At 57.8% G+C, this 23,977-nt stretch overlaps 1 protein-coding gene, 3 long non-coding RNA genes and 1 other non-coding gene across 10 annotated transcripts, besides 1 other annotated feature; 2 read left to right on the top strand and 3 right to left on the bottom strand.

Moving 5' to 3' along the window:
- Positions 1 to 99: 99 nt before the first annotated feature.
- On the top strand, positions 100 to 2,202 carry LOC105370674 (uncharacterized). Its single transcript, XR_944224.1, has 3 exons — positions 100 to 185; positions 698 to 898; positions 1,316 to 2,202. It is a non-coding gene; the product is annotated as an uncharacterized LOC105370674 (long non-coding RNA).
- DIO3OS (DIO3 opposite strand upstream RNA) lies at positions 6,459 to 14,660 on the bottom strand. Of its 6 annotated transcripts, none has more exons than NR_152589.1 (4): positions 14,490 to 14,660; positions 12,871 to 13,072; positions 11,887 to 12,057; positions 11,537 to 11,732 (listed from the first exon to the last, which is right to left on the bottom strand). It is a non-coding gene; the product is annotated as a DIO3 opposite strand upstream RNA (long non-coding RNA). The 6 variants fall into 6 exon arrangements; NR_152593.1 differs by adding an exon at positions 14,038 to 14,263 and having other exon boundaries at positions 11,537 to 12,057; NR_152591.1 differs by having other exon boundaries at positions 11,537 to 12,057.
- Positions 6,467 to 7,666: an enhancer, noted in NCBI's record as "CDK7 strongly-dependent group 2 enhancer chr14:102018566-102019765 (GRCh37/hg19 assembly coordinates)". NCBI's record gives its function as "activates an origin of replication core promoter dependent on BRD2, BRD4, P300/CBP, MED14 and CDK7 cofactors, with strong dependence on CDK7, by STARR-seq in HCT116 cells {active_cell/tissue: HCT116}" and the evidence as "EXISTENCE:reporter gene assay evidence [ECO:0000049][PMID:35650434]".
- On the bottom strand, positions 14,525 to 14,660 carry MIR1247 (microRNA 1247). Its single transcript, NR_031649.1, has one exon. It is a non-coding gene; the product is annotated as a microRNA 1247 (primary transcript).
- Positions 14,661 to 15,732: 1,072 nt separating this feature from the next.
- DIO3 (iodothyronine deiodinase 3) lies at positions 15,733 to 17,690 on the top strand. Its single transcript, NM_001362.4, has one exon. It carries the CDS (start codon positions 15,735 to 15,737, stop codon positions 16,647 to 16,649), a length of 915 nt encoding a protein of 304 aa, NP_001353.4. The 5' UTR covers positions 15,733 to 15,734; the 3' UTR covers positions 16,650 to 17,690.
- A 3,335-nt stretch (positions 17,691 to 21,025) lies between these two features.
- Positions 21,026 to 22,082, bottom strand: LOC105370675 (uncharacterized). Its single transcript, XR_944225.3, has 3 exons — positions 21,787 to 22,082; positions 21,579 to 21,652; positions 21,026 to 21,088 (listed from the first exon to the last, which is right to left on the bottom strand). It is a non-coding gene; the product is annotated as an uncharacterized LOC105370675 (long non-coding RNA).
- Positions 22,083 to 23,977: the final 1,895 nt, after the last annotated feature.

Here is a 23,977-nt window from a genome sequence, read left to right on the forward strand (position 1 = left end):
AAGGAGGACTGTCACCCCCATGTCACAGAAGAGGCATCAGGGCCACTGAGCCATTACTGACTTCCCCAGCATCCCACAGTTACGTGGCACGCCCAGCACTCAAACACACAGACACATCCCTCTGTGACTCCAGAGCACCACAGGCCCTAAAAAGCAGTCTCCACGCCGCGGCTCGCCAACCTCTGGTTAGTAACCACTTGATCATTCTGCAAACAGCTGATCAACTTCTCTATCTGGATCTATTTTAACTAGGATACATTTTGGCTACTGTAAGAAATGCCAAAATAACAGGATTAAACAGGACAGCGCCCCCCCACCCCCACCCCGCCCGCCCCCCGCATAGCAGGCTGAGCTTCAGCAGTCTAAAGCTAGCGTGGTGGTGACACGGGCACACAGGCTTTTTGCAGCTTGTTGCTCTGTGATCCTCAACACCCAGCTTCCCTTCCATAATCCCACGGCTGCCCCACTCCTGCCATCACCTCATTAATCCAACTGTGGGAACAGGGAGAAGAAGCGGGGGAAGGCACCTCTCTTCCCCCTAAGGTCAGGAACCCGAAGTTTCACAGGTCACTTCTTCTGCGTCATTGGCAAGGATTTGGTCAGATAACTACGTGTAGCTGCAAGGGAGGCTAAGAACTTGAATCTTTACATGAGCAGCCACGTGTCCAGCTCAAAGCTGGGATTTCTTTTACTTTAGAAAGAAGAGGAAAACGGATACTGGGGGCAGCCAGCAATCTCTGCCACTGGGACACAGTCTTCACCCCTTTGCCAGGACCATGGTGAGCCAAGGTCATGGGGAAAAGGTAACTGCCATCTGGCGGGGAGAGAGGTGATTGGATGAGGAATCGGAGGAGGCTTCCTGGGAGGTCCGACATTTCGGCTAAGCCTCGAAGGACAGGTAGGGCTTGGGAAGTTGAGATGAAAGGGAGCTCCAAGAGAAGGTGCAAGTAGCCAACTTGTATGGGTGGGAAATTCTAGCTCAGTGAGAGAGCCTGAACTTTGAGCCAGGAGACCCGAGTTCGAGTGCTGATGCACAGCCCACACAGCCGTGCACGGGTTTCCTGAGCCTCAGGTGGCTTCCTCACTAAACGGCTGGGGGTCCTCAGTACGTCCCCTTGCAGGCCTGCTGGGGGGGGCAGGCATGTGGCAGGGCAGCTGTGGCAACATTTCCCTGGGCGGCGGGGGTGTCAGTTCAGTGTCAAGCAGGGACAGGGGCTGGAGCTGAAAAGGGAAGCAGAGACCCCATCTGGAAGCCCTGAAGGCCAGGCCAAGCAGTCTGGATGTTTTTCAAAAGCTGCAGTCCGTTCCATGGTAGGGCAGCCCCGCAAGCAGAGAGCGACTCTAAAACATGAAGACATCTAGAAGACAGAGAGGAGGAGATGAGATCAGAGATGTAGAAACCCAAGAGGAGGCAGCTGCAAAGTTCCCAGGGAGACAGCATGGAGGGGATCAGGCCAGAGCCAAGGAGCCCTTCCATCCCAAGCAGGCAGTCAGGGAAGACTTCCTGGAGGAGGCAGCCCGAAGCTGTCCCAGCCAAAGCAAGAGCTGTTTAGAGCCCAGGGAGTGGGGCTGCGGGGAGGGTTTGCCCTGGAGGGGACCAGCCACAGAAGGAGGGACCAGCCAAAGCCAGGCCATGCCCAGGGACAGACAGGCCCCACCGCTGCCTCGAGATACCCCTACCCCAGCCAATGTGAGCACCTCACGGAGCACAGGCTGCACCTGGCACCACATCCCCATCCCAGTGAATCTTCCCAGTGACGTCACAAGGTGCAGATCCTTGCCCAATTAATGGAAGAAGAAGCTGGAGCCCAGAGAGGGTCGGCCACTTCACTGAGGCCACACAGCAAGGATTTGGGTCCGGCAGTCAGAACCAGTGTACCCAGCACTATTTGACCCTTCCTGGGGCCGGGGGTGTCATTCAGAAACACTCTGACATTATCGTCCTGGTCTCTGGAACAAGAACTGCTCTATCCACATCCCATCCACAGCCATCCCTTACAAGACAGGGACAGAGATGGAGTTACCCCATTGGACAGAAAAACAAACTGAGGCTCCAAGAGGTGAAGTCGCACGCGTGGGTCCGCGGCCCATCGGTGGCCGGCAGGACTTGAGTCCAGGTCCTTCTGACTCCGTGTCCTGATTCTCGGTGATTCTTGCTGAGGCCTTTCTCTCCCCTCCTACCCCTCCTCCCCCCCCCCACCATCGCTGTTTTCCTGGCTCCCTCTCAGGGAAAAGAACATGCTCTGAGTCTCTGTTTCCCTGGGAGAAATCCATTTTCAGAATCTGGAGGTGTTGAAATGTGTTCTTTTTTCCTCTCCAAAGAGCCCTTCTTGAGGACAGAGGTGCCCCCGGAATCCCTCCAAGGCCAGCACCGGCCGGGTGGGGGGTGGGGATGCTGCCTGTAGGGGCCAGGTCTCGGAGACCCTTATTCACCCAGGACAAGGAGCAGTGGGGGCACTTCAAGAGCTCAGAGCACACCCTGGCCCCCCAACCCAGGACCACCCGCCCTGGCCTCAGAAGACCCCACTTGCTATCCCTGCCTGGTTCCTGGCAACAGGCTTTGTGGCTCCCAGTAGCAGGGCAGTCACTGAGCCTGCCTGGTGGAGGTGTCCAGGGGAGGGTCCGTGGTCTCCACCAGACTGCCACCCTCCCCATGACAGCTGGGCTCCAATGGTCGCGGTCGCAGAAGTCTCTTGCTGTAAGGAGCCCAGCCCTCTCTGTGAGCATCTCCTAATGCGTGCGGAGCCAGGCCCTGGGGAGCACGGGCTGGTGGGTGCAGGGGCTGCTTGCCACGTGGGGAAGGAAGGAAAGAGGCTGGGAGGGGCAGGTGGGAAGGGGCACAAGTGGATGAGATAGAAGGGGAAGAGGGAAGGGAGGAAGAGACGGGGGAGGGCGGAGGGAAGGGAAGGGAGGAAAAGGCAAGGAAGGAGCTGGAGAGGGAAGAGGAGGCGGGGGGAGGAAAGGGAAGAAAGAAGGAAGAAGCAGGGAGAGAAAGAGAAGAGAGGGAAGGGAGGGGAGGAAAGGATGGGGGAGGGGAGGTGGTGGCTTGGTGTCCGCATACACCATCATCCTTCCTTCAGGCCCTCTCTCCCAGTGCACTCCCCTTACACTTGCCCAGATGCCTCCCTGCCCTTCCTCTTTCAAAATGCGCTCCAGCCTGGGGCCTGGGCAGCACCCCACCTGTCCTGGCCTCTCCACCCAGTGCTTGCATCTCCTGACCACAGCTTCCTGCAGCTGGACTAATCCCTCTCAGGGTTCCAGTCCCTTCCCCCAGGCTGCCCTCAGCTCCTCCAGGTCCCCACTGTACTCACCCCCAGTAGGGACCCCCAGGAGGCCTCGGTTCTCGGGAAGCAGTTCCTGGGTCTCCTAGAACCTATGTTCCAAAATTGTGAACCCGTGGATCCCACAGGCCTGGAAGGCCCATCAAGGCCAACCTACTCAGGACCCACTCCCCAGACCCCCACAGCGTCCCCGAGGAGGGACTCCCGGCCTCCATGTTCCGAAAGGAACGGACAGAGCTGGAGCTCAGGCACAGCGAGTCCATCGCCCCCAAGACTGCATCTCCGGGGACAGCCCCGAGCGCCCGGCACCTGCCTGGGGGATGACACAGGCCCCATCTGCCTAAGCGTGGTGCCCAGACCCTGGGACTGCAGCCTTTCCCATCCACGTGGGACATGTCCCAGCAAGCGGCAGCCTCCTCGTCCTTCAGGGTAAGTTCTCCAGGGCTCTCCAAGAGATTCTCCCTCAAATGCGCCACGTCCCTTCCCTCCTGAGGGACTTCCATGCTCCTGGCCTCCCAGCAGGTCTCCCTGAGAAAGCTCCTGGCCACCCTGAGATGCCGGGATTTTATCTCCAGGGCAACAGGAATCACTAGAGGACCTGAGGCGACAGCACCGTGGGAGAGATTTGGTTTGTGAGGCGAGGGAGGTTGTCACTAGAGACTGGGTCCGTGCCCGTGCTAGGGTCCCACACGCTGCTCCAGCTTGGCTCACAGCACTCCGGCCCAGCCACCGAGGACACCAGGGGACCCAGGGCCAGGATGTCCATGGTGGCCTCAGGGAGCCCCACTGCAGGTGGTCATGAGGCTATTCTGCCGCCCCCCACCCCACCCCCAGTGCGAACCCACAGAACCCTCTACATCCCCAAATGCATCACACTGAAACTCCAGCAGAGTGATTGCTGTACGGGTCATAAAACTACCTGTAGGAAGCAAGTCCCTGCAGAAGCCCCCAGTATCATCATCCTGTGCTGCTGGCCACAGGGGAGAGAATCAGGACCAGGCTGTGCACGGGTTTATAAGGACAGCCACACAGTCTTCTATGGGTTACAGCCCCACCTCCTCCCGGACCCTCAGTCAGTGCTCTGGGGCCAGCATCCAAGCCAGCCAGTCATTCCAGCACTCACCTCCCAGACCAATAGCCCACAGAATAGGCTCTAGTCTGGGTCATCAGAAAAGTGAAAGTGCTGCAGATGCCAAATGGATGGATGGATGGACCGGTGGGTGGATGCAAAGATGGATGGATGGATGGATGGATGGATGGATGGATGGATGGATGGACAGGTGGACGCAAAGACAAATGGATGGATGAATGGATGGATGGATGTACTGGTGGGTGGATGCAAAGATGGATGGATGGATGGATGGATGGATGGATGGATGGATGGATGGATGGTTGGATGAATGGACAGGTGGATGCAAAGACAAATGGATGGATGAATGGATGGATGGATGGACCGGTGGGTGGATGCAAAGATGGATGAATAGATGGATGGATGGATGGATGGATGGATGGATGGATGGATGGATGGACAGGTGGATGCAAAGACAAATGGATGGATGGATGGATGGATGGATGGATGGATGGATGGATGGATGCATGGACAGGTTGGTGGGTGGGTGGATAGATGGATGGATGGATGGATGGACGGATGGATGGATGGATGGATGGATGGACTGGTGGGTGTGTGGGTGCATGGGCGGATGGATGAACTGGTGGGTGGGTGGGTAAGTGGATGGGTGGAGGAATGGCCTGAAGGGTGGGTGGGTAGACATGCTATTCTACCTCTCCACCTCCTGGTTGGACTTTGGACACATGCTCCCCTCAAAGAGCCTTCATTCCACAGCTCTGCAAAGGGCACAGAGATCCCTACTGCAGGATTAACATGTGAAAACACACTAAGCTTAATATCTGGCACACAGTAGGGACTTAATTAAAGTTTGAAAACATCCCTGCTACTTCTGCCTGCCAGGCAGAGTAGTCTGTGCCCCCATCACTGTGCTCCTGAAAAATAACTCAGCATGGATTTTCCACAGTCATCCGGGTAACTCCATCTCCAGCATCTTGAACTGCTTAACTGCAACAGGCTCCTGTCCCAAATAAAACCACCCGCCCCTCCCAGGAACAGCCACCCCCTAGGAAGGGAAGGGAGACAAGGCTACAGAGCCCTGCTTCCAAGGGACCCCCTACTCCCACCCCAACCCTTCTGCCCACAGAATTACCCTGCAGACCAGCTCCCAGGCTCTTAGGGTGAGGCCATTAGAATCATGGAAAAGGGTTCACATCACATACCCATCCCCCAACCCTCAATCCCTGCACGCTCCACCCCCCACCTCCACTGAGGGGGGCTTGCAGAAGAGGAAGAGGCAAATAATTAGAGGCAGAGACTAGGCCTGTCCCCTCTTTCTCTCCATGGCTCACTCTCACCCTTACTCTGTCTCTCTACAAAGAGACTGAACCACAGCCCTGGGTGGTACCTTTCAAATCCCAAGTCCAGCCTCTATGGTACAGATGAGGCCACAGAGGCCCAGGGGGGCAGGACAGCACCCAAGTCTCCTGGCAGGACCATGGCCAAGAGGGATGCTGGGTCATTCCCTGGTTTGTCCCATACGTCTGTGCCCTTCGGAACACAAGAGACCTCTAGCCTCCCACCCTGTCCCTGAAGCTGCCTTCCTACGGCTATGGAGTCCACCAGCCTTGGCTGCGGTTGTGGTAAGTGACGTGGCAAGGATCTGTCTTTCCCTCAAGACAGGCCTAGGTCTGGTCCAGCTGGAGCACCCGGATGGTGGGTGACGAGCACATGATCACCATCAGAAGTCCCAGGGTGACGCCCTGGCTCACTCCCTGTGACAGATTGCAAAGAGCCCTAATCTTCACTTCTCCCTGCACCAGACCCTTGGCTGAGCAGCCTCACCGGGCCCTCTGCTCCCATGTGAGTGCTCCCCCATGACTGCCGTGAGCCCATGCGGGGTGAGCAGACACAGCACAGGCGGCTCCCTGCCGCTCATGTATGGGGGCTGCTTTCTTCATGTGCCTCTGCCATTGCGGTGAGATCAGGCCTGGGCGAGTCTGCAGATCAGAGGCGTGGAGCAGAGCAGAGCGGCCACCACCCCAGCCGGGTCCGCCAGGGAGCCTGCCCTCGCTGACCCCTGGACCCACTAAATCCCCCGGCACCTGAGAAACGAGCACTCATTGTTTCGTGTTTATTTGTTACCCAGCATTACAGTGACAAAGATGATGGACAGAGCCCTCAACTCACCAGGTAGCGCTACCTGCTCTGAGATGTGCCAGCACAACCCCTCATGCAACGGAGGCTGAGGGAGGCGAAGGCCTTGTTCAAGGTCACACTGGAAGTTGGTCCAAATCCAGAGGCCTCTTGGGACCTGCCCCCACGGTGAGCTGGCCTGGCAGACACAGGTGAGTCCAACTCTGCCCTGTCATCCTGGAGCCACAGTCTGGTGAGGAGGATTGAGTTGGGGAGGGGTAGGTATATTTGGGAATGTGAGGAGGAAGGGGCAGTTGTGCCAAGCCCTGAGGGATGAGATCAGTTTCTGCAGCTGGACAACGAAGAGCAGGAAGGCCCAGGCTTCTTGGTGGAAGGACCATCCTAGTCCACTCTGACCTCATAGCTACAAGTGCTACTGCATTCACAGCCCCTGACGCTGAGGCCAGGTGCATTTCGCCTGCCACCTTTCCATCAGGCCCGTAGGACACCTGCAAAGGAAAAGCAGGTAACTAAGAGCTGCAGCTTGAGCCCTGTGTGCTGCCCCACCCTCCATATCCGAAGCTCCCCATAAACCCATAAGGAGAGGCTACCATGACTCTTTCACAGATAAGCAAACTGTGGCCCAGAGAGGTTCCAGACACGCCCAAGGCCACATAGCCTCTAGGAAGCAGAGTCGGAATGTGAACCCCTGTCTGTGAGATTCCAAGCATCCCTCAGAAAGGCGTGGTCCTCGACTGGCGTTGGTGCCCTGGCACAGCCCAAGGGCCTTGGAAATGCCATTCTCAAGGTGTTTGCCCTAAAACAACGGCCAGAGAACTTCAGGCCCTGTGTCTGCCAACTACAAGGGCCTTGAACCTGTGGCCACAGTTGTAGACACTGTCACAGGCCCAGGCCGCAGCTTCTGCCATGCAGGTTCTGGCTGCCTTCTCCACCAAATGGGAAGTGCTTCCTGTCAGCAGCCGCCTTCCCCCCACCACTGTGAAATTCCCAAAGCAAAGCAAACAGCCATGATTCCCAGGATGCCGAGGCTCATGCCTCTGACCCCCAAATCCCGAACATCTCCTGAGGACCATGGGCACCTCCAACTTAGCATATGTGCCCAAAAAACTCAGCAGCCTCCCCCATAAACCTCCTCTTCTCCAGGGTTCCCTCCCCATTGTGCAAGCCAGAGGCCAGGTCCTGGTGTCCCCTCCTCTTGGCCTCCCCTCTCCCCACCTCTCCACCTCCCTTCCCTCACCAGGCAGGCTCCTTCTGCCCCCAGACTACCCTGGTGAAACACCTCTTGCTAACTTGTGAGTGTGAGTTGTGGGGTCAGACCTTAGCTATGCATCCATAGGCAAATCACTTCACCTCTCTGAGCCTCAGTTTTGTCATCTGTAAAATGGGGATGATAAAAGCCTCTCTATATCCTTAAAAGGTAGAATTTTCTGGCACACGTCATAACTTCTCAAGAAAGAGCAGCTTCTACTATTGTCACTATCCTTGCAGGGAGTGCAGTGAATGTGTGTGTATCTGCCAGCATCTCTCCTTCCCCATCCAATCCAGGATCTGCTCAGTTTCTGTGAATGGGGACTTTTCTCTCCCAGAGATGGGCACGAGACCCAGATCCGACCAAAGAGAGCCGACCCCCTCCCTCCTGTTTCCACCAGATTTCTGCCATGGGAAATGATGCTTTCTCATCTGGGGATGGCCAGGACAGGTGCTACAAGGACTCCATGAGCCAGAGCTTCTGGGGCCATCTCACCCATGTGCAGAGAAATCCACCTACAGTGACGTGGACGCAGCAGAAGGCAGGAGCTGACAGCCTGCGGGGCAAGGTGTTGGCTGCACCTGTTGAGTGCCTGGATACACCTGTTGAGTGCCTGGATGCAGCCGTGCCTGAAGGCATGGCTCCTCCTGGACTTTTCACTGACTGGAGCCAGTACATTCCTTCTTCGCTGAAGTTGGTGTGGATTAAGTTTCTGCCATGTGCAACCCTAAAGGGTCCTAACAAAACACATGAATGGGGGATAGGAACGTGCTTGGGACCAAGAGGTGTCACAGAGCTGGGCTTCTGTGATGGGGAAGCCCTGTGACTTGTTGACCTGGCAGGGCCCTGGTAGGAATTCTGTGGGAAAGGAGTGGCCAAAGGTGGTGGCCCCTGGCCATAGCTTGTGAAGTGCCCAGAAGCAGGAGTCGTGGCTCTGGCCCACGGTGCTGGCTTATGTTGGGGGCTCAGTGCCAGCCACTACTATTTCCCTACAGAGCACTCTGGTGCCCTGGGCACTATTCTAGGGGCTGTGCGGACGTGCCCCCACCTGTCCTCACAACACCCTCCCTAGGAGGTGGGCTCGGATGTGCCACCCATTTTACAGAAGACGAGATGGAGGCGCAGAGTTCAGGTAACTTGCCCGAAGCCACCCAGTGAGGATGTGGTGGCGTGGGCATGAAGCGGCACCTGTGCCGGGACACAGCCGCACAGGCACAGCCTCCTCTTGTCCTTCGCTGTCCCCCACCTGCTCAGAAGGTCCTGCAAATGACTCTTGTCCCCCTACGAGAAAAGAGCCCACAGTCTCCTACCCAGGCAGGTGCAGCTACCACAGGTCTGTTGCCAGGCGCCGGGCTTCAAAGGGGAGAGGCAAAGAACTGGAAGGCTGTCCCTCTGCCCATGGCCACCTCCTGAGATGCCTCCCAATTTGGCCCCACTTACCAAGTGTCCCTGCTACCTCCTGGAGCACCCCCATCCCACCCCGCCCCACCCTGCCCTGCCCCTGGGCCCTGCCAGGCTGGGGGGCTCCTCGGGGGCAAAAACATGCCTGACTCCTTGTGTGCCCAGAGCCCCTCCAGGACCAGTGCTTGAGTGGAGGAGGCCTCCCTAAAGGTCAAACGGTCCAGGAGGACACCTGCCACCACAACACAGCCCTGGGCCTGCAGTGTAGCATCATCAGTGAACACACCACCACGCACATCACCGTCACCTCTTGCAGGCATCTCCGAGCCACAGCCACAGCAATCGAGACTCCCTCTCCTCTCCGAGCTCTCTCCGTACACCTCGTCTCACTAACTTCACACAACCCTGGGACATCTGTGCTCTGAGGATCCCAAGCTTCAGGCTTCAGCCAGAGCCCTGCGTGCCTCCCAAGCAGAGGGGCTGGGTTTCCGACCTGGCGTGGCCATGCACAGGCATGCGTGTGGCTCCGCTGCACCGCCCGTGTTTATCTTCTGGACACCGGGAATCATAGCCAATCAGACTTTACCACCAGGGTAATCAGGGCAAAACCTGCAGCTGTTCCATGGCCCAAGCGGAGGACACTGCGGCTGTACTTTGTCCCCTTATGGGAAGTATATCCTTCCTCTTGTTTTATTTTTTCTTCTCACTTGTGGTATCTTCTGGCATTCCAAAGCTTCTTAGAGGAATCCTGAAATCCACTCTGGAACAAGGCTGGGTTTAAGTAAACAGACACACACACACACACACACACACACACACACACATACACATACACACACATACACACACATACACACACATACATACACATACACACATACACACGTACACACACGTACACACACATACACACATACACACATACACACACATACACATACACACATACACATACACACACATACACATACACACATACACACACATACACACACACATATACACACGTACACATACACACACACACGAACTCACACAGGCACACATATAGACTTTACACTTGCCCCTCATGTCATGGTGAACACAACACATTCAAACATTAGGCCCGCCTCTCCAGTGAAGAAACTGAGGCTCAGAGAAGCACATGGACCTGGGATGCCTATCTGCTGGTCGGTTGAACCCCACCTTTTTCCAGAGAGGATCACAGATGGAAAGGAGGGACTGACTCGCAAGGTGGCCCTCCAGCCAGCCTCAGGGCCCGGCTCAGAGCAAGATCTGTCTTGGCACAAGTAGCCCAGCATCCCAGTGCCCCACCCAGCTCCAGGCAGGACCCAGGCACCCACAGGCAACCTCTGGCAAGGCATCATCCTGTGCCCTGGGGTCTGGCTGAGCACCAGGGAGCACAGTAGCACTCATGCCAGGAACAAGTCAGAGCCCAGGCCGGGCTGGAGGGCCCTGAGCTGCGGCAGGAAGCGGGCAGGCGAAGGCGGTACTGGGTGGAAGTGGCAGAGCATGAGGCCAGGTAGGACCAGCACTGGGGCACCTTCGTCCTCAAGTGGGGCTCTCAGCAGCCGCAGAACAGCAGGTAGGGCCAGAATAGCGTCTCCTAGAACTTCCTAGGACCTTCTGGCGTGCAGAATGACCCATGGGGAAGGCACTGGAAAGTCACCACCCAACCCACTCCTGATGCAGACGAGACCTGAGGAAGGGGCCAGAGATGCACAGGGTCACACAGCAAGTAGCCAGGGCACTGCCTCCTAGGCCTTCTCCTCTCCTTGGCCGGGAGCCCCAGACCTTCTCCAACCCCCAAATGCTGCCAAACACCTCTGCTAGATCCAGGCCCTGGGGCCCTGACAAGCTGTCCTGGCTGGGATCCCAGCCTGCCCAGTCACCCCAGAGTCCCGCCACCTCCCCTGTGCCTGCCTCAAACTCCCAGAGGGATGGAGGTCTGCCATGTTGAGGACACCGCTCAGACCAGAGCTCTGGGTCCCTCAGCCATCTCCCACCCCATCCCCTGCAGGGTGTCCCCATGATCAACCTAGCCAAGTGTTTGGATAGAAGAATTCATTCTTAAAGTAAATGAGAAGGGTAAATACCTCCGTGGGAGGGCCCAGGTACCCGTGGGAAGACCTGTTTAGCCCAGAAAGGGAAACGGATTGGCCCAGTGACCAGGTGATGGGTGCATTCACCAGACACCACGCCCCAAGGGGACTTCCCAGGAAGTGTTGTCTGCTCACAGCGGCAGGTCCTGACCCACCGTGCTCAGCCCTGGCTGCCAACATGCCGCCCCAGCTCACTGCTGCAGGTGCGCAAAAGGACAGAGTGAAATACCCTGAGTTTCTCCCCAAACAAGGAGTTTTCAGTAAGTACACACCGCACTCATTTACTCCATTCACAAAGGTTTATTGGGTCCCTGCCTGGTGCTGGTTTGGGTTAGTCACTGTAGAGGATCCATCTGGGCCAGCCTGGGAGGGGCAGGTCTGGAGTCCGAGGCAGACACGAAACCGGGGGTGACACCCAGGGGCTGTGGAGGCTGCCATGCTGAGGACAGCTCTGGGAGGACCGCTGAAGAGGATGACTAGCGGGTGGGGAGTGGGGTTCAGCCATCTCCCGGGAGCTGGGAGGGCCCAGGTGGAGGTGAGGGCAGCAGAGGAGGAGGAGGAATGGGGGTCTCCAGGTAGAAAAAGGGAGCAGGGAATAGCATGAGTGGAAGCCCAGAGGAAGGAAAGTACCCGGAGGGTCTCTGTGCTTCAAGAGGCCAGTGGAGGGGACAGAGACAAACGGCCAGTGGTGAAGCAGGGCTGACACCCTGGCAGCAAGGACACTGAGGCACACACCTGCCATTCACCAGCACTCTCCTCCAGGTGTGCACCAGCTCCTGCCCGAAGCCTCAGGAGGTCCTCCTGCAGGGGAACACAGGGCCACCAGAACCCACCCCACCCCAGAGGGAAGTCTCAGTGACAGCCTCTCTGGGCCCTGGGAGCTGCTCTACTGGAATGGAGAGAGAGGCTGTACCCATTGCAAACCCGCCTACCACGCCCCGCACTGGGGCAGTGAGGTCCGGCGGGGGGGTCCGCACCAGGGTTCACCAAACCCTCCCTTTCAAGGGAAGACTGCCCCAGGAGGATGGGCTTGGGATCAGAAGGCCATCCAAAGGCCAGCCCTCCCCTGGCTCTGCCAGGGCCCTGCTGCCTGTCCCCTCCCCGCCTCTCTCCAAGTTGTTCCTGGACACCAAATGGACCCCATCCAACTTGTCCCTCCTTTTCTTTCCCCTGCCCGCCCCCTGCTGGAGTTGTAAGAGGGCAGGCAGAAAGGGAGGTGGGGGAGGCCCAGCCAGGCTGGGGGACAGGAGAAGCAGCCCCAGTTCTAACTCTGCTTCCCCCACAGCAGAGCCTGCCAGGCCCCCGAGGGCCGGGACCTCTGGGTGATGCCTGGCACTCCCCTAAGTCACAGGTGGAGCTGGGCCTTTGGCCAGTACTCTCCCTCCTGACCACTGGGATGGGACAAGACAGTAGGGGCAACAGGTAGGAAGGGCCAGGTCTAAGGTGAGCTGGGGGTGCAGCCCTAGAGAGAGGTAGGAAGGAGGGACAGGGGTTGCTCTGGAGGAGAGAGGGTTGCTCCAGAGGCAGAGGGAAAAGACAACTGGAGTGGGAGTCAGTGAGCCAGGTTCTGTGTTCCAAAGGCCAGCATTGCCTGGACCTTGGGTCTGTCCTCACCTGCATAAGAGGCTGCAGGAGCCAAATGGGCCTTCCAGCCTTGTCCAATATTATGGAGTCCCGAGGTGTGGAGTGTATTCTGTGGGCCCAAGAAACAGCAACAGATCCCCAGAACAGATGACAGCCCTAAAGAAAGGCTGCTTTCCTGAGCATCCCTGGGGCTAGAAAGAGTGTGGATCAGGTGCTTCCTATTGGGCTGGGCCTGCAGAGGGGACAAGAGGGGCCAGTCTTACAGCCACCCAGACCATACTTTCCACACACATGCACATGCGCACACACACTTGCACACACACACACACACTTGCACACATATGCATGCACATGCCACCAGATCTCAGCCAGCACAGAAAGGCTCTCCCAGCCTTAGGTGGCTTATGCATTTTCTGAAACTAACTGTGGGAAAAGGGCTTGGGGAACCATCCCATGTGCCTGCACCAAATGCTGTGTGGGTGGGGCAGGACACAAGCCCTACACTGACACCTCCCAGAAATCAGGGAATCAGAGCTTGAGAGATTGTCCAGTAAAAGTTGGAACCCTCAACACCCCTTGACTCTGCCCAGGAGGAGCAACCTCAGAAGCCCCCCCAAACCTCCTCTCAGAGACCTGCCGAGTAGGAGGCTTCTCTCTCTACTCTCCTCCCCGCAAAAAAGAGGCCAGAAAAGAGGATGATTGGCTAACTCAGAGGTGCCCTGATGGAGGGGAGCAAACAAGGGGACTTCCAAGGAGAATTCCCTAGCCCACCTGAAAGACCCCTACCCAGAGTGGTGAGGGGCAGCTTAGGAGCACTGACGCAAGGGGGAGAGACCAGGCTGGCTTCCCTCTACGTAGTAAGTTCCTGGGGTGTGCGCCCCTGCCCCAGACAGCAGAGAAATCGCCTGACTGGGAGATGGAGAAGAGGGGCCACCTTCTCATGCCACCCCGCCGCCAATCCTCCAGGCACACTCGGGCGCTTGACCTGCTGAAGCCTGTAGCCTCAGGTCCAGTGAGGAGCTCACGGGACAGAGGGCCCTACCAGAGCCACGAAAACCGGAGGGGGGGACCTCCGCCCAAGGCAGGCGTCTCTGCGCGCCCGCTGGGGCCCTGGTCCTGCAGTTGGCTTCTCCCGACACGTTCCTTCGCTGCCGAAAGCGATTCGCCCGCGCTCTACCGAGCCCAGCCAGCTCCTACCTCGGCCCGGGCGGCGAGCGCTGTCTCCGTCCCGAGAAGAAGTTTCGCGGCTGGTCCCGGGGCGGCAGGCGCACGGGACGCTGGCGGCGGCGGCGGCTTCCGACTTGGGCTCAGACCCCGCCGCTCCAGACAAGTCCCCGCGACTGCGACAGTGTCTCGGGCAGTTCAGCTCCCCAGACGGGAGACAGACCCTCGCGACCTGGTTCAGGCCTTGCCCTGGGGGACACTGCAGTCCAAGGCGAAAGGAGACTTGCTCCCGGCCTCTGGGTCCCTAGGTCAAGGCACCTCCCCGCCCCGCCGCCCCTGAGCCCAAGTCGCCAACCCCGCGCCGCGCGCAGCGAGGGATCAGAAGGTCTCGGACGCCGCGGCAGGGCCGGCCAGGGCCCCACGAGTTAGGGAGTTGCCCCGCACCCCTAAACGCTCAGCACCCATTTACGGTTGAAAGTACGCACTTGACGCGTCCGGGCGCCTCCGCGGTGAGTCGCGCCGCCGCTCTCGGGGTCCGCGAAGGTGGCTCAGTTCGGGCGCTCCAGTCTCGACGTTCCCGGGGTAGAGAGCAACGTCCGGGGACGAACGGGACGGGTGCGCCCAGCGGCCGGGGCTGCGCTGGGCGAGGCAAGCGGCGAGAGGGGAGCGCTCCGGCGTTCAGGCAACAGCTACCCCTAGTGGGAGAGCCGCCCGGGGCCGGCGCCGCCCCGCGCCCGCTGCCCCGCGCCCCACGCCCGTGGCGCCCCGCGCCCGGGTCGGCTGGGGGCGCAGGGCCGGCGCCGCTTTCCCCAGCTCTCCGGTCTCCGGCGCCCGGCGGTAACCCGCCCGCGGGCTCTGCCCTCCGCACCTCTCAGCCCGGCCCCGGCGGCCGCTGACCCAGGAACCGCGGCGCCCCGCTGGAACGAGATGGGACGGGGCGGGCGCGGCCAGGGCGGCGCGGGCTGGGGCGGCGCGCGGCAGCCTCGGGCAGCGGCGGGGGGCGCGGAGCGCGGTGTGCGTGGCGGGGCGGTGCGGGGGGCGGCCGTGTGCGAGGCGCGAGTGTGAGCGCGCGCGGGAGGCGGGCGGGCGGGCTCCGGCAGGCGAGCGGCGCCCGCGGGCGAGCCAGGAAGGCGGCGGGAACGCAAAGTTGCCTCCTCGCTGGCCCGCGTCCTCGGTGGGGCGGGAGCCGGGGCCACCGAAGCGGCGGCCGCGGACCCGGCCTCCCGCGGCACCTGGGCAGCGGCCCCGCACGAGCGGCAGCGGCGTGGGCGGCGTTGGCGGCGGCGCGCGGGAAGCGAACCGGAGCTCCGGCGCGGCTCGGCGGCCGCCGGGGAGCTCGGCTCAGGTGCGCGGCGAGGGGGGCGCGGGCCGGAGCCAGGCGGCGGGGACCAGGGCGGCGCGCAGCGCTCGCGCCAGCTGGAGGACCTCCCCAGCGGACGCCCAGGTCCCTGGTCGGGCTCCCGGTCCCCAGCGGCAGCGGCTGCCGGAGTCCCCCGCCCCCGAGAGCTGGCTGCGGGGCCCGGGCCCGCCCCCACCGGCCCCAGGCCCGGCCGCTCCGCCCTCCGCCCGCCTGCGCCCGCCCTCAGCCCAAGATTTCTAGGGCATTGGCCGCGCTGCTGGGTGATCCCTCCGGGCTCAAGTTGCAAGGGGGCGGGCCGGGCCGGAGGTGGAGTCTCCCGCCAATTGAAGCCTCCGCTATAAATTGAACTCCCTGCACTGCTGAAGCCCAGATGCCTCGCCAGGCCACGTCGCGGTTGGTGGTCGGAGAGGGCGAGGGGTCCCAGGGGGCTTCGGGGCCTGCAGCCACCATGCTCCGCTCCCTGCTGCTTCACTCCTTGAGGCTCTGCGCCCAGACCGCCTCGTGCCTCGTGCTCTTCCCGCGCTTCCTCGGCACGGCCTTCATGCTCTGGCTTCTCGATTTCTTGTGTATCCGCAAGCATTTCCTGGGCCGCCGCCGCCGGGGGCAGCCCGAGCCCGAAGTGGAGCTCAACAGTGAAGGCGAGGAGGTGCCTCCCGATGACCCGCCCATCTGCGTGTCCGACGACAACCGCCTGTGCACCCTGGCGTCGCTCAAGGCGGTGTGGCATGGCCAGAAGTTGGATTTCTTCAAGCAGGCGCACGAGGGCGGTCCGGCGCCCAACTCCGAGGTGGTTCTGCCCGACGGCTTCCAGAGCCAGCACATCCTCGACTACGCGCAAGGGAACCGCCCGCTGGTTCTCAATTTCGGCAGCTGCACCTGACCACCGTTCATGGCGCGCATGAGCGCCTTCCAGCGCCTGGTCACTAAGTACCAGCGCGACGTCGACTTCCTCATCATCTACATCGAGGAAGCGCACCCCTCCGACGGCTGGGTCACCACGGACTCTCCCTACATCATCCCACAGCACCGGAGCCTGGAGGACCGGGTCAGCGCAGCGAGGGTACTGCAGCAAGGTGCACCCGGCTGCGCTCTGGTCCTCGACACCATGGCCAACTCCAGCAGCTCGGCCTATGGCGCCTACTTCGAGCGTCTCTATGTCATCCAGAGTGGCACTATTATGTACCAGGGCGGCCGTGGCCCCGACGGCTACCAGGTCTCTGAGCTGCGCACTTGGTTGGAACGCTATGATGAGCAACTGCACGGCGCTCGGCCCCGGAGGGTGTAAACATCCAACGGACAATTGACTGAACTTGGTGGGCTGGGCCTTCGAGCCTTCGAAGCCCACGTGCAAGCGCCTCAAACCAAGTCACGCTTGGCGAGGCCCCAGTGACACTGATGTGCTGAGCCACCATTTCAGACTGAGTCTGCACCCTCAGCCACATGAACAATCTCCCCTACCTCCCTGGGACTCTGCTTCTGTAACTGTCTCATTCACACCTGCCTGGCTCACTGGAAATCCTCTTTTGAGCGCGGGATATGGCTTGCCCTTGTCCGTGTGCCCCCAGGACTTTGCCTCTACAGCATTTTCTTACACCCCCTCCCCAGCGTGCCCTCAGCCAAGTGCTTTGGCCCGGTGCTTCCCGCAGCTGCACAGAGACCTTGGCCACGCCCGCGCGCCCTGAGCGCAGCTGGGTTCCAGGAGACTCTCAGCTCAGCTGAGCTAGTTGCCTGGCACCCACCTGTCGCGCGCGGAGAGGGGGTTCCCTGTTGCTTTTGTGTCTGTTTCCTGTCCCTGGTAGGGGAAGTGATGTCGTGGATGGGGAGGGGTGGGCAGGGTAGTTTCCCCCGCTTGTTTTGGGTGCACAGGAGCCCCACTGCTGATGACGAACTATCTCTAACTGGTCTTGACCACGAGCTAGTTCTGAATTGCAGGGGCCTCAAAGCAGCACCTAAACCTTGAGGGGGAGGGTGCTCTGGGTTTCCGTGAGGTAACCACCTTAAATGGGAGGGAAGTTGGGGTGTCTGCTTTGGGACCAGAGGAAGATAGCTTGAGAGGCATTGGCGAGGTTCGCAGCGCCCCAGGGAGAGAGAAAAAGCTGAGACTCCTGGGGAATGACGTTGGGGTGATGGAGTCCGGGGAAAGAGAGGTGGGGGGAGAGCCTGAGGTCCCCAAGTGAGGGGAGTCCTAGGCAGAGCTGCTGATTGTGGGGCTGGGAGGTGGAGGGCCCCTGATTCGAAGGCCATTTGGTGAGTGTTTTGCTGGAAATATTTCCTGTATATAAACTTCTTTCAATCTACAATAATAAAGGCTTGAGGTAAACTGCTTTCTGGTTGCCTTTGGTCCCTTTATTTTCTTTTCCCTCTGAATAGCGGCAGGAATTAAACACAAATCCCTCCCTCGCGTCCCCATAGTGACCTTGGGAAGCGGGACGGGAAGGAGCCTAGGCTGGCAGGGGCGCTGGAGGAGGATGGAGGAGGAAGAGGGTCTGCGGCGGTGCCCGGGGCGCTCCTACAACCGCACGCACCCACCTGGACGGGGAACTTAGCTGCGGGAGAAGAGCGAGGTAGCGGAGCGCCGCGGGATCCTGGAAAGCGGCGGGAGAGGCAAGGGGGCCCTCTCTTGCTCCCGCGCGCGCACACACAGACCGAACAGATGCAGCTGCCCCTGCAGCCGCCGATCCAACTTAACTGAGTATCCGGCGGTGTGTGGAGGGGGTTGGGTGAGGTGGAGGGCGAGAGGGGCTTTGGACCCGGTACAGCCTGGCTCCCGACCGCTGCAGGCACCACTGCGCACCTGACTCCTCCCTGGCCCCCTTCCGGCACCTGCAACCTTGCCTCTTGCCCACCCGCTCCAGGCAGCTGAGGTCCGCTGGAGGCGCGCCTTGGCAGAGGGGCGCCCTCACTCCAGCTGCGGCTCCTACTGCCGGGCCAGCGTGCTGCTGGGTGCGCCCCCTGCCCAGGACCCCCCTCCTCCTGTCCCTCCTCCGCTTCCCCAAGCTCCAGTCAAACCCCACCACCCGCTCCGTGCTGGGAAGCAGAGGTGGGAGGCCGCTGGGATGAAGAGAGAGAGACCAGGGAGAGGTGAATGGTGGATTCCAGGGCTGGGGCGGGGATTCGGGGCCTTAGGCACAGGTCCCCTCTTGCAGTCACGGCCAGGGGCTCGCTCTCGCGCAATCCCCGCCCTCACTGTCTCGCCTGTTGCGCCCGGAGTGAGGGCGACCCGGGGGACGCGGGATTAGCTTAGCCCGCAGCCCCTGTGCCAGCGAAACCTTGAACATTAAGTGAAAGGTGGGGGACACAGTGAAAGCCGCTGAGGCGGGAGTGTACGGATCCAGGTGAGGGGACTGGGCACGGCAACTTCCCTGGCGCGCCAGGACAATGCCTGGGAACCCAGGATTGTCAGGGTCGCCGGGGGTGGGGGTGAGTAGTGTCGGTTTGCGCGCTTGGATGTGAGCGCGGGTGTACATGGCAGGGTTGGGTAGGGGTGCAGAGGGGCGCGGCAGGCAGGATGGAAGAGACGCCCCCGTTCAGCCAACGGCGTCCCTAATTCTGCGCCCAGCCCCCGCGCTGCTCCTCCGTAAAAACTTTTTGAAACTGACATCCTAAATTTGTGGATTTTTTTTTCCTTTAAAAGTATCTCAATTGAAAAATAACTTTAAAGAAAACTTTGGCACCCACGAAATTTCTGCATCTCCTCCCCACTACCACCAACCCCTACCTACCTCCGCGAACGCTCCTTCTCATCCCGAAACCGCCAGGAAGCAAAGGAGATCGCGGCAGGGACGCGGCCCGGCGCCTGGGAGAGTCCTCCCTGACCTCCCCGCACGCGCGGCTGGCCGGGACTGGAGCTTGGTGGCGCGGAGGGTGGCCTGGGACAGCGTCAGCCTCCCGGCCCAGCAGAGACCGCTCCAGCCGCTCCGCGTCCCTACCGGTGGCTTGGGGGTCCCCTTGGACGCGCCAAGCGACCTCTCCTACCCGGAAAGCCTGCGCCCCCTGGGCTTCCTGGAGCTTCCCAGATCGAAACTCCAAAAAGCGCTTTCGCGCCGCAGCGCCGGGACCTGCAGCGCCAGCCACTCCCCGCACGGGCCGCACTCGCTCTGGTCGCAGCTCCAGGGAAGTCCCACCACCCCCACTTTTTTTATTTCTCTCTTCTTCCTTCCCTTCCTCCCTGCTTCCCCTTCATCTTTCCTTTTCTTTCTCTCTTACTTTCCCCTCCTTCTTTTTCTGTTTCTTCCTTTCCTTTCTTCTTTCTCTCTTTTCCTTGAAAATGTCCCCTATGAAAGCAATGCAAGCTCATTGCCGATACAACAGAACTCCGAGAAGGAACTAAAACCAACCCAACTCTTCCTGCGTGTGGAGCCCCCTCACTCCACACTTGTCTCTCTGTGTCCCTCTCCCTCACACTTGCAAATACATATTTTGAAAACAAGGGCAGGGTGGTGTTATACTTTTGTAGCCTGCCAGTAACTTCTTAATCCCAGGGCGCCCCTTCTTTCCTGCACCCTTCTTTCCGTGTCCATAAATAAGTCTTGAATAGCCGCGCATCGCACTCAATTGGATGACCAGCAGGGGTCCATGTGTGGGCATCCCAGATGTTAGGGATGTTTCATTATTACAAACAAAGTCGGGGTCAGCAGCCTATGAGCGCAGCTCTGTACCCGGTTACCCCAGCTAGTAACGTGTCTTAAAGTGAAGCAGCTCCGACGAGAAGTATGTACACCTTTAAAGAGATCTGTTTTGCCGCATTTTGCTGAGCTGCCTTCAGGAAGCCTGTTTGACTTTTATTGTTTTGTATTTTCCCATTGCTCCCTCTCTCTCCCTTTATTTTTAAGTGAAAAATTACAAAGACAATAGTTGAATCCATCCTCCATATTAAATTTTAAAAACAGAAGAACACAGAGCAGAAAATGCAAACCCTCCCTCAGAGCAGGAGCTTTCAAACTATAAATCAGGGCCCAGCAGCGGGGCATGAAATCAATTTATCAGATCAAGTCAATAATCTGTCAATAATTGGAATCAAGTCAATAATCAAGTCAATAATTGGAAGAATGAAATAAAATAAACACAGTAAGAATAGCAGCGTACATTTCACCTAGGGTAGCTGGAGTTTCTGCAACTTTGGCTTCAGTTATACCTATCACGTGTGAGTGAGTGTGTGTGCATATGTGTATGTGGGAGTGTATGTGTGAGCATGTGTATGTGTGTGTACCAGGTGGTTGAAATGAAGCGTATTTCTCCTGAGGGATCAAAAATGTTTGCAAGCCACCACCTGATCATCCCCATTCCTCCCTCAACCAGGACAGCCCCTGGTGACTGTTGGGTGCGTTTCTCTCCAGATTCTATTTCACATATTGACCATCCAATATGTAATATTCTCAGATGAGAACAAGCACATTCTCAAACATATTTTCCCTAATTGCAATCATGCCACATAGTGTTTGATGACACCACCACCCCCCCACCCACACACACACACATACGTACTCTGTTCTCATGCCGTTCCTACCCTGGCCCCCTCACCTGTCAATCCATCTAATCTGAGCAGGTCTGCACCTGTAGGTTGATTTGTGCCTGGCACCATCTGGATGGCTGAGGCCCCTTGAGGAATGCTGGGATCAGTGGGGAACAGAGTGAGGAGACAGCCATTGCTGGTGTCGCAGTTGCCATCACCCTCACAATTAGTATCTTTTCAAGGTCCAGTGTGGCCTTAGCAGATGGTTTAGCCTTGAGCAAGGAGAGAGAGGAGGGGCATTAAAAGAGTTCATAGAAAGGGTCTTATTTGCCCCTCGAAGGCACAGGTGGCTCCCCAGGACGGCATAGATAGAAGGAAGGGCATCCCTGGCAGAGGGCACTGCCAGTGCAAAGCCCTGGAGGCCTGAAGGTGTATGTCATGTTCAGAAAGCAAGGAGTCCTCAGTGCGGCTACAAAGCAGGAGGGTGACAAGGGCAATGAAGAAGGGGAGAGGCAGAAAGGGGCCCAGCCAGCTTGAGAAGAGCTTTAGGCACCAGCTTGCAACTCTGCTGAGCCTTTGGGGACAGAAGCCTCTGACAGTAAGGTGGGGCAGGCAGTCAGATGGGGAGGAGCCATGGGAGGCCTGAGGATGGGGCTGGGGGCACATCCATCTACCCACCCCGATGGGGGTGGGCAGGTGCACTTTCAGGGCTCAGGCTGGCATCTCCACCTTCCATCCAGCAACTCTCCTCTAGGAACTTACCTGGAGGGAATAACCAAACTGGTGAGCAAAGGGGTGAAGAGGTACCAGGAGGTCCATGGCCCCCTCTGATCCACCTGCAGGGGAGCAAGAAGAGCAGGGAGTGACATTGGGGCACTTGCTCCGGGGGCCAGGGGCCAGGCAAGTGAATTATCAGGACGACCTGATTTGGTCATCCTAACACTCCTCTTACATGAATATGACCACTCACCCCATTTCATCGACGAAGACACTGAGGCTCAGCATGTTTGGAGTGAGCTGGGCAAGGCATCATGGTCTGACCTGTGTTCCTCCAAAGACTTTGTTCCCCAAAAGTCTTTGTTCCCCCAAAAGACATGTTGAAGTCCGCATTTTTGAGGAAATGCGGGTTGTTTGGAGATAGGGCCTGGAAAGAGGTGAGTACATTGAAATGAGGTCATTAGGGTGGGCCCTGATCCAATATGACTAGTGTCCCTAAAGAAGAGATCAGGATACAGACACACAAAGGAAAGACCATATAAGGACACAGTAAGAAGGTGGCCATCTACAAGCCAAGACAGACCTCAATAGAAACCATCCTGGCTGACATCTCGGTCTTGGATTTCCAGCCTCCAGAACTGTAAGAAAATTAATTTCTTTTGTTCAAGCCGCCCATCTGCGGTATGTTGCTATAGCATGCCCCAGCAAACCAATACGCAAGGTCATGTACTACAAAGTGTTTTTGACCATAGGCCCGTCTGACCCCAGTGTCTGGGGGTTTCACTTCAGGCTCCCCAGCATCCCTTGCAGAGGCTAAAACAACTCAGGACACTGAGATTTTGCAGTCTAGAGTGACAGGAAAACTCAGCTTATAGGACAACAGGCCTGAACCGGGGCAGTGAGTGTGTGCTCTTTTATAAATATCTGCAGAGACGCTCACACACATACAGCTCTAGAAAAATCTACCCCGAGGTATTCGCAGTAGTTGTCTTTGTGTGGGTGGGATTATGAGTGTTTTCTTACTTTCTTCTTGTTGCTTCTCTGTAGCCTGTGATTTTTCTGTAGTGAATGTGTATTCCTCTTATGGCAGAAAAATAAAACGCAAAACAGCAAAAACAGTGGCTTTGGTAAGTGGAATCCTGGAGGCGGGGAGGCCAGGCCATGAGGCAGACAGAGGTTCTGGCTGGAGATGGTGGGTTCTGGGCTAGGCCTTGGGTAGGAGATAGAGAGGTGGAGCCGGGGGAAGGGGAGAAGGAGCAGGGCAGTGCTATGGCAGTGAAAGGCTTGGGGGCACTGGGGGCATGGCAGGGGTAGGCCTGCTGAATAAAGTACAGGACACCCAGTTAAATCTGAATTTCAGATAAACAATTAATACAAAATGTTTTTAGTATAAGTATATCCCATGCAAGATCTGGGACACACTTGTGCTAAACAATGATTTGTTTTTCATCTGAAATTCACATTCAGCTGGACAGTCTGGATTGTTTGTTTATTTTTCTAAATATAACAGCCCTGAGCGGAGGAAGAGTGGACAATGGTATAATCTGAGGCCCTGGGAGGAGCGGTCTCAGAGCTCAAAGGATGGGTTGAGAACAATGAAACCATGGTCCCTGAGGTCTTCGGTTCCAATTTCCAGAAATAGTTGAATGCCTGTGGCCAGACAGAGGCCCCCAGACTCTCCAGAGACTGCATCTGATGACCTGGGGCTAAGGAAGAAATGACTATCAGCACAGCCAGCTACATAAGCTGCAGGGCTCAGTGCAAAATGAAAATGTGGGGTCCCTGTTCAAAAAGCAGGGGAGGGTGCCACTAAAGCTACCCCATATAAAGCCTTTTCCTTTCTTCCATGGCATCTCAACTCGTCATGGTGTTTATTTGCTATATAATTCATTACAAATAAAGAAAAAGTAACATTTTAAATTATGTGTTAGTCTGGGTTATTCAGTGAAACAGAGCTAATAGGAGATAGATAGACAGATTGATTGATTGATTGATTTCGATTTACTGCAAGGAATTGGCTCATAAATATGACCCCAAAAGCACAGGCAACAAAAGCAAAAATAGACAAAGGAGATTGCATCAAACTAAAAGGCAAAAGAAACAATCAACAGAGGGAGGAGGCAACCTAAGGAACGGGAGAAAATATCTGCAAACCATGCATCTGATGAGGGGTTTATCTCTGAAATAGACAAGAAACACAAACAAGTCAATAGCGACAAAACAAATAACCCCAGTTAAAGAAAGGGCAAAGGCTGAAGGTGGTGGCTCACCTGTAATTCCAGCTTTGGGTGGCTGAGGTAGGGGGATTCCTTGAGTTCAGGAGTTCAAGACCAGCCTGGGCAACATGGCAAGACCCCATCTCTAAAACAAAAAAAAATTAAATGGGCAAAGGACCTGAATAGACATCTTTCAAAAAGAAAACATACAGATAGCCAACAGATACA

The sequence above is a fragment of the Homo sapiens genome, chromosome 14 (genome assembly GCF_000001405.40).
Source record: "Homo sapiens chromosome 14, GRCh38.p14 Primary Assembly".
NCBI classification, from domain to species: Eukaryota; Metazoa; Chordata; class Mammalia; order Primates; family Hominidae; genus Homo; species Homo sapiens.